Source organism: Homo sapiens, chromosome 5 (genome assembly GCF_000001405.40).
Source record: "Homo sapiens chromosome 5, GRCh38.p14 Primary Assembly".
Lineage (NCBI taxonomy): Eukaryota > Metazoa > Chordata > Mammalia > Primates > Hominidae > Homo > Homo sapiens.
Window position 1 is genome coordinate 135,563,720 of NC_000005.10, and position 19,721 is coordinate 135,583,440.

A 19,721-nucleotide genomic window follows, 5' to 3' on the forward strand; every position below is an offset into this window, starting at 1 on the left:
TTATAGGATATAAAACTAAAGTTTCTCTTGGACATTTTAAAGGCAGATGATAATAATAATAATAGTAATAATAATAATAACAACTACCATTTATTTACTGCCTACTTTCTGTGTTGAGACATTTATCTCATTTAATACTATAGTTGTAAAGTTGGGACTGGGAGAAATTATTTTATCCACGGGCCCCTAGACTTTGAAGGAGAGGGTTGAGGACAGCTCTGCAGACAGCTGGGGGTGGACATTGGGCTGGGGGTCTGCGCCCCTTTGTGTATCTGTTCCCATGAGAAGCCATTGGAATAGATTTCCAGGGAAGTGCAGAAAACCCCTAGCATCTGGAGTGGGTGGGCATCCAGGTAAGACAGTGGCAACTGGACATTTCCTAAAGTCCCAAGAACGATGCTCTGGCCCTGGGCTAAACACAGAGAGGAAAATTGAGGCGGTAAACCTGAAGGGTTCAGGGGCCACCCCAGAGCTGCCTGGCTCCAGGTGGCTCAGAGAGGCTGTGACACCAGCAGGGACCCCATGGCTGCATCTTAGGTCTGTGCCCTCTCTTTCACCCCAGCTCCTTCAGGCTCAGGGAAAGGAGCAAGTGAGTAGCCTTCTGGTGGGCTAACACTCCAGAGTTAGGGAGTCCTCGGCAAGGTGGGGAGGGAGCTGCGCCTTTGGGTCTGGAAGGATCCCCCAACCTTCTTGGCATGCTTCAGCCTTCTACAGCCTCCTTGAATTGGAATAGGATGTCAAAGGCCCATATCGCATTACCACTCCTCTGAAGTAGCTAATCCCTCACTTAAAGCACATGCCAACCACATTGTCAAGGAAAAGTTTGCCTCAGTCCTCTTGGAAGTGCAGCTGCCTGGCTGACTTTTATTTTCTTGAAACCAGAACCTGATGCTTAAATCGTCTGGGGAATCTCATATGGGCAGACACATGGAGAGAGGGACAGTGTTTTTTATTTAGTTCTTCATTCAACAGATGAGTCTCCAAAATACCTGGTGCCTCCCAGCGAACAATCTGACAACATCAGATCCAGGCTGCAGGGAAGGCAGGCCAGGCTGGAACAGGGGATTTTAGGGTACTCTATGGGGTTAAAGAGTTACCATAACTTCTAAAGGGCCCAAACTCACTTACGAGTTGGTGATCCAAGCGGAGAGGTTGACTGATCATTCCTTAGCCGTCATATATACTTTTCTGCTAGGCCCTGTCAGTGGGGTGATTATACAGTATATCAGCCATACTCGGACTCTTTTGAGAGTGAAAGGGAACATTCTTCATAATTGCATTGGGTCAATTACCATAAACCAGGACTGTCTCAGGCCAACCAGAATATGTGGTCATCCAACCTAGGAGTGTCCAAAACTTTTAACACTGCCCAGGACAATTTAGCTTCTCTAAACCTTAAGTTCTTCATCTGCAAAACAGGACTTATAGTGGAGTTTGGTGAGAAAGAAAGTGCGGTTGTTGCTATTGTGTTGGTTAAACTTTGCTCCCCTCAAAATATGTGGAATCAGCAGGATTGGTACCCTAGTAGCTATAAATGAATTGAAGGGTATGCTTTGTCTCGTACTTTTCTTGGCTTATGACATTTTTTTTGGCTGTACCGATGTGAATACCTAACTCCAGTCTATCTTTGCAGGCCATTATTTCAGGGGAAAAAAGCCTTTGTGATTTAGAAATGATTCTTGTGTGAGCACTGCCTTTAAATAACAATGGGTTGAAAGAAAGAGCTTGTTGCTTCATCATCCCCGTTGCTCTGGGGGAAAAACTTTGAATATTAGATCAGAGTCTCATCTGCATCTAATTAGACATGCCTACCACTCATCCCGGAATATCAACTCTGTCCTCATTGTGAAATGGGGCAGATTATTTGAAATCCAGCTTTGAATTGATTTTTTACCCAACAGAAGATCATTTTGCTTCTAACCAAAGCGTTGAGTTGAACTTGACGACATCATGGTCATTTTGCGTCTTCAGTGTATTTGGTGTTGGGGGAAAACCAACCCTGCTGCTCCTCTACTGAAGTGGAATTTGTGTCTACCAAATGAGAGCTGGAGCAGCCGTTTCACAGCTCCGGGGCTCCCTTTCTGGATCGGGGGGAGAGGCTCTAGAGGAGCATGTGATTTCTGCAGATGTCTGCCTGTAGGAGACAGAACTAGACACCAGCAAAACAAACCTGGCTGAGGCTGGTTGTTCGTGTGGCCCAGGTTAACTGGGTGATTAATCTCCATTTGATAAACAGGGGGTCAGCCCTGAGCCGGAGCATGAGAGCACAGTGGAGCATCCTGTGGGCTGGGGTGGACAGGAACTGTAAGACACTGTGTACTTCAGAGAGCAGACAGTCTCCTTGCAGCCCGACACACGTGGGTTTGAATCCTGTCTCTTCCACCTGCTAGCTGTGTGAACACGAGTGATGTGTTCACCTCACTGAGCCTTGTTTTCCTCATCTGTAAAATGGAGCTTCAATAGAACACCCCCGTTGTGGTCGTTACCAGGATTCAATGAGATAGGGTATGTAAGGCCCTCCACACAGGGTCTGGCTCACAGTAGGTAATAATTACACTAGTCCTTGTCGCTGTCCTCATGCAGCCTCGGGGAACTTGGAAAGCTCTTGGCTGAGACACCCGGACTCTTGGCTGCCCTCTGGTGGTGAGGCTCAGCGCGGACCTGCGTGGAGGAAGCTGGGAAATGTTACTTTGAAAGCAAGAAAATAGCTTAGGGTTTTAGTGCTTTCTTGAAGACCTCCAAGAATATCCATGTAACTTTTCAAAAACAGGAGGAGAAGAAAACACCCCAGGGGCTCTAAAAAGCAGCACGGTGTCTTCCTTGTGTGGAGGTTGAGCAGGAAGGGTTGTGTGGGCTTCTTTGCCTTTGAGGTTCCGGAGGCCCCCATCACGGTGTCCTGGCAGGACAGGCAGAGAGAAGGGAGCTGGGCGAGAGGGGAGTGGGGACTGAGGCTGGGGCTGGGCTCTGTGGACATGCATCTGGGGCATGGCCGATGCTCCCGGGCCTCCTCTAAATCCCCCAGTGTTCTCTACTTCTCTGCCCCTGGTGCTCTGCCGCAGCTAGCCCATCTCATCGCACATGGGCGTGGCGGCCACGGGCCATGTGAGAGCCAGGATGGAATCAGCACCTTTTTTTTTTTTTTCTTGCCTGATAATGACTTGCAATCTGCCATGAGCCTTCCCAGGACTGACAGATGTCTTGATCAGTCTCCTCCTCTGACCCTGGGTGAGACACCCGCTCTTTGGGGCTGCCCCAGAGTCTGCCGTGAGTCCGTCTGGCAGTCAGACCAACAGGCAATTTCAGGCAGCTTCTTTGCCTCCCTGTAGACTGAGTTTCTGGAGGGGCCATCTCCAGCATCCAGCACAGAGCAGATGTTTAATCATGCAACAGTAGCTGGGTGAATGAATGGTTGAACTCTGTCCTTGAGGATAAAGGAGCACAGCCAGTCATACCTCTGTTCCCCATGGTGCCCAGCAGAGTTTTGCACATAGCAGTAGCTCAGGAATGCGTGAAGAAAGCATGTTCTCAGGGATCTCCCTATGATCCTAATATTAATTCAACTGTGTTTGAATACCTCGTAAGTGCTATCATAGATTCTGGGAGGTTTTTACAAAGCAGCATATGACACAGCTCCTGGTTTCTAAGAAGGGCTTCTTCTTAGATGCTCAGGTTCAAATAAAACTGTTAAACTGTAGTGCAGATTATGTAATAATTCAGGACCAAAATGAGTCACCTATATGGATATTAGAGTTGATACTGGAGGCAGGGTTGGCCCCATGGGTTTGTGACATGTGAGTTGCACAGAGCATGTCTGGAAAGGGCCCCATGCTTGGTTTAATGCCCTGCTGTTGCCGTCTAGAAATTCTTAATAATTTTTGAACGGGAGGCCTGCATCTTTTTTTTTTTTTTTTTTTTTTGCACCTAGGCCTGCAAATTATGTAGTCAGTCCAGGATGACCAGGAGAAGCTCTGAGTGGAGTAGATCTGAGAGCGGTCAGGTGAGGTGGAGGAGTTGAACTGCAGGGCTAGGCTGGAGCTCTCTGAGGACATGGCCATGCTGGTGTCAGCCCACTACAGCACCAGGGCCTGCTCAGGACGAGCCTATGGGAAGTCAGGGCAATGGCATTTGGAATCAAAACAAGCCTAACTGTGAGGATGCAGTGGCTCCAGTGGAGGTGGGGCCTGTATGTGGGCCGGGTCTGCCCTGTGTGCAGAGGAGAAGCTTGCTCTTATCCAGGGAAGCCCATGAGAGCCACCAGTGCAGAGCCCGCTCTGAAAGGCCACCTGGCCTTGCTTTGCTGCACTGGGATTACTCTCTTTCCTGGAAGCTGGCAAGTGGACACTTCATAGGGATACTGGGAGGCCCAGAGAAGAGGTACAGGAAACAGGTCTGTAGCCGGGGAGAGAAGATTCTTCCCTGGAGCCTCGCACAGTTCTAGGCGCCTGTGGGTCCTCATTTGGTGTTTGGTGAAGTGTTTGGGCTCAGAGTCTATTCTTAGTGGTCAGGTTAATCCCTGTCTGCGGGAGGAAAGGGCCCAAGCTCTCCCTGGAAGCATAGCCCAGCCTCTGTTGTCCTGGGACCCCATCTCTGTAGGGAATGGAGATATTTACATGCAGACTCTCCACCGTTTCTGCGCTTTGACCAGCTGAGGCTTGACTTCCAGGACTTCCTCTACTGTCCTAAGCAAAGTGCTTCACTTCTCTGGGCACCTGCCACATAGCGCATTGTGGGAGTGCAGACAGAGCATGTGGGGCCAGTGCTTGGGTGAGTGCCCGGATCAGTGGCTGGACCAGTGTGAGGTGACACTGTTGCTGTTATTAATGATCCAATCTGTAACTTGGGATGTCAGAGAAGGGAGGGACCATCGGGGCCAGCAGAGTTAGAGGAGGGTGGCCTAGCACTAGAGCCACAGGCAGGACGAGGAGAGCCCCAGCAAAGACAGGGAGTGTGTATGGCTTGTTTACAAGCGGCACCCCACGGCCTGTGCTGTCTTGGAGCAGCTTTTGCTCTCGGTGGCCGGGGCTCTTCAGCCAGCTTTGTACACTGCCCTTCCCTCCTGAGGCTCCACTGGTGCTGCTCTGAGGCCAGGCAGGGTTCAGGGCTCCCAGCAAGAGGCTTGGCCTCTGCTCTGCCCTGCCCTGCCCTGGTATGCACTGTCTTCTGGGGCTCTTGCATTCTGTTCTGTCTGTTGGTCTTGGGGTTTCCCTGTCTAGTCTACCTTCTTTCTCCATAATGAAGGGAAAGGCAGGGCTGCTGCAGGGCATTCATGGTCACCAGCTCACTGTGGCCTCAGCTTGCCCCTCCTCCACCCCTCAGCAGAAAGGCTGCCAGGCCCAGCCATTGGAGGGTGTGATGAGTGGTAGCTGTGTGACTCTGGGCAACTTTCTCAACCTCTCTGATCTTCAGCTTCCTCAGGAATACATGTGGTGTAATCTGAAGCCGCCAGGAGGAAATAAGATGGTGATAAAAGCGTTTGTGGTAGCATCTTGCCGGGGACATGCTGAGACAGGGTACTTGCTGGGTGTCCTCGTAAGTGTGTGCAGAACCAGTGTTTCAGGAAGCTTCCGGGGAGGTGAAGGGGACATGGGTGACTGGCTTCCAGTTGCTAGTGTAGCAGACAGGGTGGAGTCCTTCTGGGTGTGGAGAACCCAGGGAAGGCAGAGAGGCCTGTTTCAGGGCCTGGCTGACTTTAGGATACGGTGAGATGCAGGGCTGTGGGTAGTTGGTACAAAGTGCAAAGTGGCTGGTCTGGTGTTGTGCTTATTAAAATAGCTTCTGGCTGGGCATGGTGGCTCATGCCTGTAATCCCAGCACTTTGGGAGGCTGAGGTGGGAGGAGGATCACTTGAGTCCAGGAGTTTGAGACTGTCCTGGGCAACATAGAGAGATCCCATCTTGCCAGGCATGGTGGTATGTGCCTGTAGTCCCAGCTACTTGGGAGGCTGAGGCAGGAGGATCCCTTGAGGTCAGGAGTTCAAGGCTGCAGTGAACTATGATCGTGCCACTGCACTCCAGCCTGGGTGACAGAGCAAGACCCTGTCTCAGGAAAAAAATAAAAATAAAAAAATAAAAAAAGGGCTTCCATTACCACGTGCTCACCATGCCCTGGTATCCTGCTAAGTGCTTTACATGGGCCTACGACATGCAGTCCCTAGAAGCACAATGAGGTGTGCCCTACTGTCCACCTGTCCACCTGGCAGGAGCAGGAACAGCTCCAGTATCTCCCAGGCGTGGCTCCCACGCCTCCAGAGTCCAGAGTCTGCCCAGCTCCAGAGTCCCACAGCCTCCCAGGTGGGCATTTCCCACCTCCCCGAGTCCCCCTGGCATCTTGGGGCCCTGGACCCCAGGGTATCTTGACTGGCCCCATCTACTATCTTCTCTAAGTGGGAGAATATGAGTGATGTGCTCACCTCTTTAAGCCTTGGTTTCCTCATCTGTAAAATGGAGCTTCAATAGAACCACCCCCGTTGTGGTTGTTACCAGGATTCAAAGAGATAGGGCATGTAAGGCTCCCCGCACAGGGTCTGGCTCACAGTAGGCAATAATTACACCAGTCCTCTATTGTTGCCGTCCTTATGCAGCCCCAGGGAACTTGGAGAGCCCTTGGCTGAGGCATCCAGCCTCTTTGCTGCCCTCTGGTGCTGAGGCTCAGTGTGGTCTTGCGTGGAGGAGGCTGGGATCGTGACCCTCTAGTTCCCTGTGCTCCAACCTGCCTGCTCTGATACACCTGCTGCAGGGGTAGGAATCGTCGGGGAAGGAGCCTTAGCCTCAAGGCCTGGCTTCTTGGCTTCCTGACTGTAATGACAGCTCCACACGTTCCACAGAGGTGATGGTGTTGACAGGTATTTGGGAAATACCAGTTTTCTTTCCCAGCATATTTGTCCTTATTTTTTCAGGACATGGTAAACATTTTATTGTCATCCTAGCTTAATTAAATAGAAAAAAGGTGGCAGTCTAGAATTTTGGTACATTTCAAATATATTTTATTACTTTCCATCTTAGAAAGAATATGAAACCTGCATGCAATGCTAATGGTTTCTGACATGTACATAGCATATAACACAGCAGTACAATGCGGCATATACTGGGGGGCAGTGTGTGGAGGGGGCGTTCTTAAGGGTATATGTACAGAGGAAAGGGCGCATGGTCATCTTAGCTTTCGAAAGAGGACTGCACTGTTTAACATTGAAGAATTACATGGGGAATCACAAATATATTGCTTTAGTACTGCATGTTCTGTTGTGGTGAGGGAAAGAAACATGCTTTGAAGGTTTTCCCTTGTCAACAGAATGTGTGTCTGTAGCTGTGTATTGCGCATGTATTCATATATTTTTAAGTTTTCTCCTAAGGTTTTTGCTGACAGTGTTGGGAACCTCACATGCTTCTGAAGCATTAAATATTGAACCTGTGAACCTTTCAGAAATCCTCAGGTTGGGAAAGACCCCACACCTTCTTTAAGGATCATTTGTCTCGCCATCACAGGATCTTGGAAATGTTTCCTAGGGTGTGTAAAAATTAACCAGGGGGGAATGAAGCACATTTTTCTGGCAACCAAACTTGAGTTCCTCAGAGAACAGATGCAGAGAGACCTGCTCCTGCTTGCCCGGCTACAGGGGCCACTGTGGAGTCACACTGAGGCTGTGACCGGCCATAAGCCCAGGAGAGCCCGTGGCAGCTGTGCCGAGGCGCCAGGACCTCTAAGCGGAAGCTTCCCAAGCTAGGAATGGAGCAACACTGCAATGAAATGTGTCCACCAAGCTCATTGTTCCTCCCGGGCGCTTATAAAGCTCAGATGTATAGTGACGTATGGACAAATACAAAAAAGCATTTTTTAAAAAGGAAAGGCATGAGTTTTCCCCTTTTTGATAAAAAGCAGCCTGTGATGAAGTCTGGAGCACAAGAGAGATGGGTCTCCCATCTGGAAGCCTTTCGCACGCAGCTATAAAATGTAAAAACTGACCGTTGGTAAAAAGTGCTTCATAACAATATATAATTTGTGTCTTATGCCTGTGAGAAAGAAAGGCTTTTTTTTTTTTTTTTTTTTTTTTTTTTTTTTTTTTTTTTTTTAATCTGCAAAGTCCTTTGCACAAGTCTCCCAACTGGTTTGGAGTTTTCCCTTCTGAGGTTTTTCACCCTATTCTTCGTAGACCCTGGGGAGAAAAAACACATGTGTAAGTGGCTCAGGACATGAGGCAGGCCGTTCACAAGATGCTGGCTAAGCGGCTTCATTCACGTCTGGTCTGCAGGGAATGCCCCTGTCCCAGAACTGCAGGAACCCCCAGGAGAAGTGGGAGGGATCCTTCTGAGGATGTGGTCCCGGGGACCATGAAAACTCACACCAGTGTGGCTTTGTCTTTTCTAACCATCTGCAATCTCACTTCTGCAATCTCATTTTGTCCTCAGAGGCCTATGGAACAAACCCGCTTTGCATATGAGGAAACTGAGGCACCACAGACTTAAGATTTGCCCAGTGGCCACCGACTGTTAGTGGCAGGAATGTAGTCTTTCTCTAGCATGGCGGGCTGCTCCCACACCTCCTTGTTTCTTTCCGCGTCTGTACTCAGCCTCTCTATTTAGAGAAAATAGCAAGGGTGGGAGGCATTCCCTTACTTGACTTAGGCTTGTATATTTCTTTGTATTTTGCCCAAATAATGCATGTCCTCCAGAAGAATGCTAGCTCTAGAAGCTGCTTCCTGGAGACAGAAGAGGTGGTTGGTGGGGTGGGGCAGTGGTGCAGGAGGCCTGTGCCCCTCAGTCCCTGCTCCTGGCTGCATTGCCTCATCTCTACTCGTTCCCAGCCCCACCTTCCCCTCACCTCTCAAGCTGTGCCCAGTTAGATATTTTGCTTTCTTCTAGTTCTGCCCCATGGCTGCCCTGGGGCCATACGTTACACTTAGCCTATCACTTTTCTGTCTCGTTCTTGATTTCTGAGTAAGACCACTGAATTATCCATTGAAATAAAATGCCTGACTAGGCTGCTTCCTGTGGTGGCCAGAAGCTCCCTGGAAGCTCTGGTCTCTGAAGTGCACAGAGCTCCTCTGTGTGGCCCCCATGGGCCTGAGCCCACCGTATACCCTTCTACTTCCTCCAACCTAGCTTTGGCATTCTCTTTCTCTCTCTCTCTGTACAAAGAGGACTTCAAACACTTCCTTTATCACTGTTCTATGTTCATTAAGATATTTTCAACTTGTTTCAGGGGAGGGAGGTGGGGAGGGCAGGGACCTCAACACTCTAAGAAAGAGGGGTGAACTAATTTTATAGCAAAGTGAGAGAAGGCCTGGTAGTGAGAGGCTCTCGTTGCTTTTGTTATTGGAATTTTCAGGAAAAAAAAAAGCAGGGCCATGTTTAGACCTGTGGGTGCCTCCTTTTCCAGGCTGCAGCTCAGGTGGAGGGGAGAAGCAAGGTGAGCTAAAGGTTTGAGTATCCCCCAGCAATCAGATCAAGATGCCCTCAGCCTCTTCCATAACCTGCCCATGGGATTAGCCTTCTGCCAGTTTTGATGACACAGGGCCTGGAGGGTGACAGAGTGTGGACTGCGCAGTTCTGGCCTTTGCCACATGAGCTGCCTGGCTTGACCAGAAAGAGGGCTTCATTCCCAGCAGATTTATAGAAAATAATTTATTGCTCTCATCACTTTCTATTTCAAGCAACTGCAGATGAGGCTGTTTTGGAGGCAGCAAAAAAGGCTCAGGTATAGGGGTTGAGCCCGAGTGTCAGCTCTGGGAGAGCTGGTCACAGGGCTGAGCTTGGGGTAGCATGGCTGGGCCAGGTGAGGGGAGGGCAATGCAGGCACCCACTATGGCTGTACCTTCCACCCTGTGAGGGCAGCTGGTGGGGTAGCACCAGGAGGCCTGGTTTGCTGTCCTGGCTTTGCCCTGTGCTCCCAGGCAAGTCACCCCTCTCTTCCATTTAGCCTTGATATCCCCCTCTGCAGCAGGGGTGCTGGCACTAGTTCCTGGGGAAGTCACCTGCATGGTGTGTGCATGCATGCGTGTGTGTGTGTGTGTGTGTGTGTGTGTGTGTGCTTCCTGATCATGCTATGCAGGCAAATGTGTAAACAGACTCTGCGTATCTGAGGAGTGAGACAGGACAGGCTACCTTCGCATGGTACAGGGGAGCTAGGAACTGGATTCTCCCTCCGAGGACAGACATAAGACCCCAGGAAACCAGAGATGGGAAGCCACCTTCTGATTTTAAGGAAACAGTGCCCAGTAAGTACAGGGCTGGTTCAGGGTGCTGGTGGTCTTAACACTGCTGCCCGCCTTGGTTAACAGTGGCTCTGATTTTAAAGAGCCAAACCTGTGGTGCCTTCCAGCACCTGCGAAGGAAGGAGTTTATCAGGTTTCTGGGCAGCAGAGGGAGTGGGGCACCTTGGAGAAGAAAACATGTTTCTGGCAAGGATCATCCTCAGCACCTCATGGTTTTATAGCGCAGTTTTATAGCCAACATACACAGTCACCTAAGTGGTCACATTTCACCCCACTGAAGTCCTCAGAGCTCCCCTGGCAGCCATGCCAGTGCTCACTCTGCCATTTAACAACTTACGTAACTGAAATAAAAAGAGGAATTAAGATTATAATGCAAATATTAGAGTGAGACAGACTTTAGTTTACAAAATGACAAACCTGCCATGCTTGCAAATGGACAAGAGATGGATAGCTAGCTTTGGTAAGTGGTGAGTTCCTTGTCCCTGGGGGTATGTAAGCATTGTCTGAGTATCTGTTTGCTGTGGATGTTGTGGTGGGTGTTCACATATTAGATGGGGCTAGATGACCTGGTGGGGGGGTCCCTTCCCATCCTGAGAGCCACAGCTGGGTCTGGTGGGAAGGAAGGTGAGTAGAGGCGGGGCGTACCTGCGCTTCTCGTTCCAGGCGTTGTACCACTTGATGAAGCGCTTGGTGCTCTGCAGCTTGGGGTGCAGGCAGTGCTCCTGACCTCGGTACCTGGACACGCTCTTGGTGGTGATGCTGAAACGGAGCAGGATGAGGTGGAGGGTTGAGGAGCCTGAATAACATGTTGCCTCTTGTGTGGCCTGTGAGTAGCCCTGGGCTAAGTCAGGGCCCTGAGAGACTGTGGCTTCCTGCCTCCTCTCAAGGGAGCCGACTTGTGTGCTCACTTCCAAGCTGGCTCTTTGGAAGGTTCTGGTTGTCCCCTTATTCTCTGACTCCATGTTAGGGCCTAACCCTGTATGTAGTGAGCAGCCCTCACTTTTCCCCTGGGAGTCCTGAGAGTCTGGGATGGTCTCTCCCACCCCCAACCTCATGCAGTGTGTTGTCTCCAGGGCTCAGGCCTCTTTTGGGGAACAAAGGTCAGAGGACTCCCAGCCTCTCTGAGCCTGGGATCAGGAGGTGGAGAAAGCTAATGCCAGCAAGGTGCACATGCCAAAACCTCTGTCCTTGGATTTGAGGAGCTCATGGCAAGGCTCAGACATGCCCCGCAGACACTCTGATTTCTGTCTCCTCAACCCCAGTTCCCTCTGACCCACCACAGATTGTCCCAGGGCTGGGCATCTCCTGATCCTGAGGCAAAGTCTTGTTGGCCTTGTGGGAGGTCCCAGGTATCTCACCCCTAAGCAGAAGAGTAAGACCTCTCTTCTGCACAGCCTGAAGATCTCAGGCCTCTATCAGCCAATGTCCCAACACCCAGCAGAAGCCTAGCCATGTGGTAGAGAAGCAGGTGTTGTGCAGACTGTAAGGGCCTGGGACTGAATCTCAAATTTGGCTGTGGGACCTTGGGTAACCTCTCTGAATCCAGTTTGGCCATCTGTAAAATGGGTATAATAATAGGACTATCTCACAGGGTTATTGGGATGATTAAAAGATACAATCTTTAGAAAGTACCCAGGACCTGGTAGATGCACAATTAACAGTTACTGTTACTAGTCATTGGTCATGGAAGATGAAGTGGCCAAGGGGAAAGAGTAGCCTTGCTGTGGGGGCTCCAGCCTGGAGGGCGAGGCAAGCCTGCTGCTCAGAACTTCTGAGCACCTCTAGGCCACAGGCATGACAGGAGTTGTGGGGAATAAGAGACCACCTAGGGTATTTGGAAAAGTGCAAGGTGAGAGGTGAGGATGCCACTTCTTGAGGGGTCACAGCCATGCAAGCCATGATGGTAGACTGGGGTGCTGGAATGGGCTTGGAGGGCAAAGGGGGAGACTGGAAGTGAGAGTGGAAAGAGTGAGAAGAGAGGGACAGAGGTCAGCTAGTTCCCCACTGTTAACCAAATGGAAAATGTCATGGCTTATATGGGCTAAGTTCTAGAAGGGACAGGATTCCCATTACTTCAGTCTCCCAGTTGATGGGGAAAGAAAATCGGATCTTGCCACCAGAATGGGGGCATAATGTTCCTAGGCAACCTGTTCTCTTCCCTTCTCCGTGCTCTGGGTTTCTGGGGTCCCTGCTAGGGCCTAAGCTCCTTGGGGCAGGGGCGGGTCTTCCTGCTGATGCCAGGTGATGGTGCCTGCCTTGACTGGACTCCTCTGTGACTCCGGGTCATTCCTCTAGCCTTGAGCACAGGCCAGGCTTCAGAGTGAACTCTGGTTGTCTCTCTCCCCCACTGTGCCCAGTCACCCTGCAGGAATTTAGCAAATGCTTTTCTCTTTCTGCCTACAAGGCTGCTTTAGCATTCTGAAGGAAAGGACGTGGTAATGCCTGATAAAAACCCTTTCTCAGTTAGGTCAGTGTGCAGGCTGTGCATCCCAAATCCTGAAGGTCAGGGAGAGCAGGAAGGGAGAGCAGGAAGGGTCACTCAGCCCTCTCACTACAGTGCTCAAATGCCACGTCATAATACTGGGATTATGAAAATCGGTTGTGGAGTGCAGACATAGGGATTTGTGACTCCAGCAACTATCAGAAATTCTGAGTCCTGTGACCCTCTCCTCCACAGTTCTGGCGGTGGGGGTAAGGGTTTTGGTGAGAGCTCCATGGACCTATGACACAAATTGCTCTTTCTAGAATTCGGACTCTCCTGGATCCTTCTGGGTGCAAGGACTCCCACTTGCAAAGCGGACCTCTCCCCCCGCCCCTACTCCTGCCCCCACCCCCAGCCTCAGCAGAGATTTCTGGGTGACTCAGGGTAAGCTGGAAAATTTGCTTTTGTTCAGCCTTTGTGGCTGAAAACCTGCTTTGCAAAAGTGCTGGCCCCTCATCTGATTTGGAGAGTTTTAGGATTGTGGAGGGGGAGAGGAGCCCCCAGCCCTCAGGGATGGAGTGGGAGGCCCTAGGGGGTGGGTTAGAGGTTTAGTAGAGGGTGATTGGATTGTGTGCTGATCTCCTGAGGCCCCTGCACGTTTCTACAAGGCTCCGTAAAGCCTTTCTCACACTTGCCTAGCTATAGTTTTTCTCTATATGTGGAAAAGTTTAGCCAGGAAAAGAGCAAGCCTATTTACTGAGGGCTCTGTCCTTTTTAGGTATCACTGCATCCTTTACCCTGCTTTCTTCCCCTGCAAGGTCTCAGAAACTTGTTTGGTTAATAGAGTGGTTTTCAGCTCTTAGACGAGTGAGATTTAACTTGGAATTCCCCTGTCATTCTTAGCCCCCAAACTGGAAGCCCTGAGGAGCTTGGAGCTCCTTTCCCAGCTCATTTGACACTTGGCCCCCACCCAAAAGGATTTTTGGGTATTTTCTTTGAATTTGGTCTGCAAGGCAAGGGGTAGGGACAAGCAAGTTAATTTAGGTGTCTGTGAAGGAAGGCAGTGGGGTCAGCTCAGTTCCAGTGGATTTCTGAATTCCCCTAATTTCAGCCTGACAGTGTAGCCCCTAGACGGGGATGGGGGGTGCTGGGTAGGGGTGTGCACTGCTTTCGCAGACACTGTGAAGGCCTTTGCGCCGGTGGGGGCCAGCTGGTGGAGGGCACTTGCCCAGACTGAGAATAAAGTGCGTCCTGTTTCTGGGGGAGGGGAAGAGGGGCCAATGGTCTGTGGCAAATATTTGGTAGCCGCTTTGCCAAGGGCTCCCTTCCTGGCCAAGAGCATATTGATGAGGAGGCAGCGGTGCTGGCCTCAAGTGGTTAATTGGGAAGGCGGAGGAGCAAGAAACTAAGTGTTCTCTCACTCTGCCCCAGTTTTTCCAACATTCCCCACATCCCCACCAAGCAGGGCTCCAGCCATGTGGCACATTAACCCCAGCAGAGCACTTTCTGCAGTACTGCTCCGTATTGGGGACCCACAAGGAGTACAGTCGGTGAGGGAAGCTCGTGGAGCGTTCTCAAAATAAAATCTCTAGGAGCCAAAAACTTGCGGTCCACTTGTCTCTGACTGGAACAAGGCTCTGAAGGAGACTCAGGATTTAAGATAGTGTTTGCATTAGTCCTCTATCCAGTGACAGGAAGGCAGCACGCCTCACAGTTTGGGTGTGAGTGTGTTTTAAGTGATTTCAGTCTAGGTTTTCTGAGTTGGCACAAGGGAACCCTTTAACCCTTGATGGCCCTAGCAGAGTGGGTGGCCCATGGTACAAATAGGGAGACTGCTCATTTGAATCCTAGCAAGGGTGAACTTGGAGGCGCTGTTCCGGAGCGGGACAGTGACCCCCCTTCCCGACTGTCTTCCAGAGTGTCTCGCCAGCGTCCTAAGGACTCTCTGGGCAATTACAAAGGCTTTTCCAGGGCCTTGACAAAGTCGGAGAGAAATGTTTGTTAGCCCGACCCAGGCCCAGGCTGTGCCCTGGCATTGGGTTGACAGCAGTGCGCACCCCCTCAAGGTGAGGAGCGAGAACTCACATAACCATCTTCTCCTCGCAGTGCGGGTACTTTGGCTTCATTTCCAGCTTCTTCACGTCGCTGTAGCGGATCTTGGGTCCCTTCCGGGAGCACTTGCATTTGGACCCTGCGAGCGAGCGCGGGGCAACGGCTTAGTTGCTAGGCGGTCTCCTGCCCCTCGACCACCTTGGTGCCCACCCAGACCACCCCCCGCGGGATCCCAGGATGCCTAGAAATTGGCGCTTGGGTTCCCCAGGACAGGACAAGACGAGACGGCGACAAGGGGAGCTCCCCGCACTCACCGTCCACACGCGCGGTGTACAGCGCCAGCAGCAGCAGGAGCAGCGCGGCCGCCAGGAGCCTCATGCTGACCGGAGGGGCGCGGCGTGGGAGCAGGGACATGGGGAGGGCGCTGGCCCGTCGGAGCGGCGGCCCGGAGACGCCACCCAGCTCTGCTCGGCTTTCTCTGCCCGGGGCGCGCCTTCCGGCTCTGCTGGCTCCGGCTGCGCCGTCGGTGGATGCCCAGGGCTGTCTGTGGCCGTGCGCTGCGCTCTGCGCTTGTCTCCGCGCTCTCTCCACAGCCTCCCTCCGCCCGCCCTGGCCTCTTTTAAATCCGCTCCTGCCCTCGCAGCGAGCGAGCTCATTAATATGCAGAACCACTCGGTGACTCACTGAGATTTCTCAATGTGGTGAGGGGAGGAGACCTTCCCAGCCCGCCCGTCGCCCGCCCCGGGAAAGGACCCGCTATCGCAGCGGCGCACACCCGGAGCCACGCGCGCACACGCACACACACATCCGCTACCCTCTCGCTCACACAACACGCCGCCTTCGCACACTTGCACACCCATACCACAGCGCGCACACATTTCCAGCGTCCCGCTCTGCCTTTGGGGAGCCCAGACGGTGGAGAGGCTGCTGAAGGGCACTGCTTTTCTGAATCGTGTGGTTCTCTCTCTGGCCCGGCAGGCCAGCTTTTCCGAGCCGGCGGGAGACCCAGGCCCAGGGCTCAGATCCTCAAAGACCTGAAAGGGTTTTGGAGCAGGTGCCAAGTGTGAGTGCCTGCAGGCCTGACCCCCAAGGGCCCCTGCTGGGCCAGAACACAAGGCCAGTTCTGGACAGGGGCTTGTCATAGACTGTCCAGCAGCAAAGTCATTGACTGTGATCACTGGAACTGACTCAAAGAGGGTATGTGTGTGTATGCGGGGGTGGGGACGGGTATTGGGGAGGAGTTTTGGTGACTCCCAAAGGAAAGCTCCTTAAAGTGGGTCAGTGGCCTGGTGGCTGTGTGAGTGTCTGGGTGGTGGGGAGAACCAGGAGGAGTCCTCACTCTCACACTACTCTCCAAAGCCAGGTAGAGAGCCCTAGTGGAGAGCGATGACAGTGGTAACCATCTGGATGAAGGCCTTCCCATGTTCTAGACATTGTGCCAGAATGCGAGGTATAGTGGTGTGAGCCCAGCCATAGTGGCAGAAATTCCCTCCTCACTACTTTCCAGCACAAGTGACTTTACCGCTCTCAGCTTTTGTTTCATCATCTGTAAAGTGCAGATCATCACAGTGTTTCTGATAGGGTGGCTGTGAGAACTATAGAAATCATACATGTTGTCAGTACCCAGGAAATGTTACTTATTGGCACCATCGTTTTATGTCTAATTTATCTATTACTTTGATTCTTACCAATTGGTACTTTTCTTCCAAGTTGGTACTTTTAATTTCTTTATTTGACAGGTGTGGAAACATGCTCTGAGAGAAGAAATAACTTGTCCAAGGTCACAGAGCTAGGAAGCAGGTGACTAGGCCAGGAGGGTCCTCAGTATATACGGCTGCAGAACTGGGACTCCTGTCCCTGGACCACTCTGTTGCTTTGAGGCCTGTCTGCCCTTCACTTCTTGCTGCCTTGAGAGACCCAGAGACAGGAGGTGGATCATCTCAAGCTCTTGGAGTCCCTGGGCTTGGCTGTCAGGAGAGAGCTCACCCAGCTCTATGCCATCAGCCTGGCAGTTCCCTGGAGGCAAAAATGCCCAGAGGGCTTCTGGATGATGGGGACAGTCTGCTGAAGGGTGCAATGGGAAGAATCTGTGTCGTCTCTTCCCAACTGGAGAGCCCTTGCTGCTTCAAGAAGAAGCTGAGCCATGAAAAGCAAGCAGCGCCTATGCGTGCTGTTGTGCCTATACCTAAAGCAAAGCCAATAGCTGGACATTTGCATTTATGCATGAGATGAGTATGAGGGAGTGACTTTTGGCATTTATGTTAGTTTTTAACTCTAAAAATAATTTTTTAAAATATAGAAACAACACGTTTGCCCAGAAAAATCAGAAAACCCAAGCAGAAGAAAACTAACATTTTCACGCAAGTAAAATCTTGGGTGAAATCTTCCCAAAGCATCCTCTTTTTGCTTTGTGTGCACATGTACACATGGGATCAGGCTGCATGTAGTCTTTAATAACCTGCTTGCTATACCTATTAGCATATTGTGAACATCGCTCCATGTGGCTAGCCTTGCTACAACAATAGCTCCCTTAATGGTTTCATCTGAGGCCGGGTAGTATAATGGCTAAGAGGCTGGTGTCTGGAGTCAAATTGCCTGAGTATGCATCCTAGGGACTAGCTGTGTGACTTTGGGCAAATACCTTAACTCTATTTGGTATTGGTTTCCTCATCTGTGAGATGGAGATGATAATAATATGTACAGCATAGGCAGAATTAAATGAGATAGTGCATGTAATGCTTTTAATGTGGTCCCCAACACAGAGTAAGTGTTTGATATGTGCTGACCATTGCGGTTATCATGATTTTAGCTGCAGAGTATTCCGTCATACAGATGTACCAGAATTAATTTGACTACTCCTTGCTGGACATTTGGATTGTTTTCAACCTTACCCTCTTACAACCAATGCTGTTTGACAAATATTCTTGTAGCTCCATTTTGGGGTAGGTTTTAATACATTGGATCAGCCCTCAGAAATAGAATCATGGGGCCATGGCACATGCCCATTTTAAGACTTTTCATAGAAATTGCCAATTGCTTTCCAAAAAAATATATTTTATGCTGCAAAGGAATTTCTTAAATACCAAGCTTTCCTAGAGCATGTAAAGTATTATTTTTTATTAACGATTTTATTTCTAACATGTTTGTTTCAAGAATATGTTGATTGATTAACTGGGATCTAACAACACCAGCGATCGTGGGCACTGAGTTTTCACAGGAAAAAGTAGTTGGCTCTAGAAATATGGACCAACGTTCCCCAGCTTCTTGGGCTGGACCAGAGGTCAGACGTCCCAGTGTTTTGTCCTCAGTTACACTCCTCAGTCTGTGTATGCAGATCTCTGGTTTGCAGAAGGCAGCCACTGTGCAAGCAGAGCTGAGCCCTTGTTTGTGTGAGTTCTTCTGGAGCCATGGTACAGGAGAGCATGAGGCCCCTGCTGCCAGCAGGTCTGTGGGGGATGCTGCCTAACTGGGTGAGGGAGGGGGCTTGGCCCCTGACACACCTTCAGGGCACAGACTGTCTAGTGAGCCCAAGCCGAGGGCCTCTGAGCAGGTGGGCATGTGTGAGGCCGTTCTTTGTACAGTGGCACTGTCTGCTTCAAGGAGGTCCCTGGGGTACAGTGAAGGACAGCACACATGCCTTGCCTGTGTGTGTGTATGCATGTGTGCAGATGTCAACACATTCATGGTCATACTGGATTCTACAGAAGAGGTAGACGTGAAGTGTGGGGGCACAGAGGAGGGAGGAAGTGGAAACAGGACATCACTCCTTGAGGGAGTGGAAATTTTGCTGAGACCCCAGGGATTTGCTTATTTCTTCTCTTTACATTTATTGAGCACCCACTGTGTCCCAGGCGTTGTACGAGGTGCTGGGGGTTTGAGGTGAGCCAAGGCAGCTGTGTGCCTGTCCCCAAGCAGCTCAGAGTCTAGTGGGGAAGGCAGACATTAGCTATAAACCACAGAGATCAGTGTGAAACTCCTGCAGAGGTCAGTGTCCTGGAGGGTGGTTGGTGCTAGGAGACTCATCAGGGGATCTGACAGGGTGACGAGGTGGGGACAAATTCCTGGAGGAAAGGGCCATTGAGTTAGATATGAAGGATGGAAAGGAATTAACCAGTGACCACAGGAGGGAGGCCACTCCTGGCCCTTCATGGTCCCTGCTGCTCACACAGTGATCTCCTGGGGGAAGTCCCTGCTCTGAACCCTTTACTGGCTCCCGATCTCATGCAGAGTGGAAGCCAAGTCCCCAGCAGTGCGCACCCAATCATGACCAGCACCTGCCATGCTCCCCACAGGCTGTGCTCCAGATACTCTGCCTTGTCTTACCTTCAAACATCCAAGCCTGTTCCCACCTCAGGGTCTTTGTGCTCACTGGCCCCTCCACCTGCAGTGCTCCTCCCCAGGGGCTGACAGGCAACCCTCTTCTCCTCAGTGAGCCTGGGCTCCAATATTCACCATCCAGTTCTAATCCCACGAGCATACCCCCAACAACAGTCCCTCTCTGTGTTGCCACCGATTTTAGTTTATTCATTGTATGTGCAGCAACCTCAAATTGTACATTTTCATATTTATTTGGGGGTGCATTGTGGATGATCTGTCTGTGTCTGTGGGTGTCTGTCTTGCTCATCCTCAGTATCTACAACAGTGATTGGCATGTAGCAGGGGTTCACTCCCTATCTGTGGAGTAAATAAAAACATGTTTCAGGCAACAGCTCAGCATGTGAGAGTACTGCTGAATCCAGGCTGCACAGGCTACAAGGTTGCATGTGAGAAAGTGTGTGTGCGTGTGTGTGTGTGTGTGTTTGCGTGTGTGTAGGGGTGGCCATGGGGAGTCCATATTCCCAGGGAAGCCAGTTCATCCTCAGGGCATTTGTTTTAGAGATGAAGTCTCTGGGAAGAGGAGGTGGTGATAACAGGAGTGTGACTTTCCAGGAAATCCCACAGGTGTCTGGGCACTACCTCCTTGGTCTGCTTAGAAAGGGGTCTTGACTGGTCAAGGCTGGTTTTCTGCCCTGGGAGCTGGGATCCAGGGCAATTCCTTCC

At 50.9% G+C, this 19,721-nt stretch overlaps 2 protein-coding genes across 3 annotated transcripts in view, besides 3 other annotated features; one reads left to right on the forward strand and one right to left on the reverse strand.

Annotated features, from left to right (window-relative positions):
• Positions 1,449 to 1,969: an enhancer, noted in NCBI's record as "OCT4-NANOG-H3K27ac hESC enhancer chr5:134900858-134901378 (GRCh37/hg19 assembly coordinates)". NCBI's record gives its function as "activates a minimal SCP1, AML or CMV promoter by ChIP-STARR-seq in naive H9 embryonic stem cells {active_cell/tissue: H9 hESC(naive)}" and the evidence as "EXISTENCE:reporter gene assay evidence [ECO:0000049][PMID:30033119]".
• Positions 4,600 to 5,529: an enhancer, noted in NCBI's record as "H3K4me1 hESC enhancer chr5:134904009-134904938 (GRCh37/hg19 assembly coordinates)". NCBI's record gives its function as "activates a minimal SCP1, AML or CMV promoter by ChIP-STARR-seq in naive H9 embryonic stem cells {active_cell/tissue: H9 hESC(naive)}" and the evidence as "EXISTENCE:reporter gene assay evidence [ECO:0000049][PMID:30033119]".
• Positions 6,262 to 6,762: an enhancer, noted in NCBI's record as "H3K4me1 hESC enhancer chr5:134905671-134906171 (GRCh37/hg19 assembly coordinates)". NCBI's record gives its function as "activates a minimal SCP1, AML or CMV promoter by ChIP-STARR-seq in primed H9 embryonic stem cells {active_cell/tissue: H9 hESC(primed)}" and the evidence as "EXISTENCE:reporter gene assay evidence [ECO:0000049][PMID:30033119]".
• On the reverse strand, positions 6,960 to 15,272 carry CXCL14 (C-X-C motif chemokine ligand 14). The gene is made up of 4 exons (NM_004887.5): positions 14,996 to 15,272; positions 14,715 to 14,820; positions 10,853 to 10,966; positions 6,960 to 8,149 (listed from the first exon to the last, which is right to left on the reverse strand). Exons 1-4 carry the CDS (start codon positions 15,057 to 15,059, stop codon positions 8,134 to 8,136), a joined length of 300 nt encoding a protein of 99 aa, NP_004878.3. The 5' UTR covers positions 15,060 to 15,272; the 3' UTR covers positions 6,960 to 8,133.
• Positions 15,273 to 15,452: 180 nt separating this feature from the next.
• SLC25A48 (solute carrier family 25 member 48) overlaps positions 15,453 to 19,721 on the forward strand; it is a 309,466-nt gene continuing 305,197 nt past the window's right edge. For both annotated transcript variants that reach the window (NM_001349335.2, NM_001349345.2), the window contains exon 1: positions 15,453 to 15,878. The gene's annotated coding sequence lies outside the window, so the exon portion shown is untranslated. The remainder of the gene's footprint in view (positions 15,879 to 19,721) is intronic.

Excerpts from the sequence above, each read along its gene's own strand:
- CXCL14 (NM_004887.5), bottom strand. The coding sequence starts at position 15,059 with ATGAGGCTCCTGGCGGCCGCGCTGCTCCTGCTGCTGCTGGCGCTGTAC. Across the intron at positions 14,821-14,995 it reads GTACACCGCGCGTGTGGACG|GGTCCAAATGCAAGTGCTCC; the intron begins GTGAGTGCGGGG and ends GCTCGCTCGCAG. Across the intron at positions 10,967-14,714 it reads TGCGAGGAGAAGATGGTTAT|CATCACCACCAAGAGCGTGT; the intron begins GTGAGTTCTCGC and ends GCTCCGTTTCAG.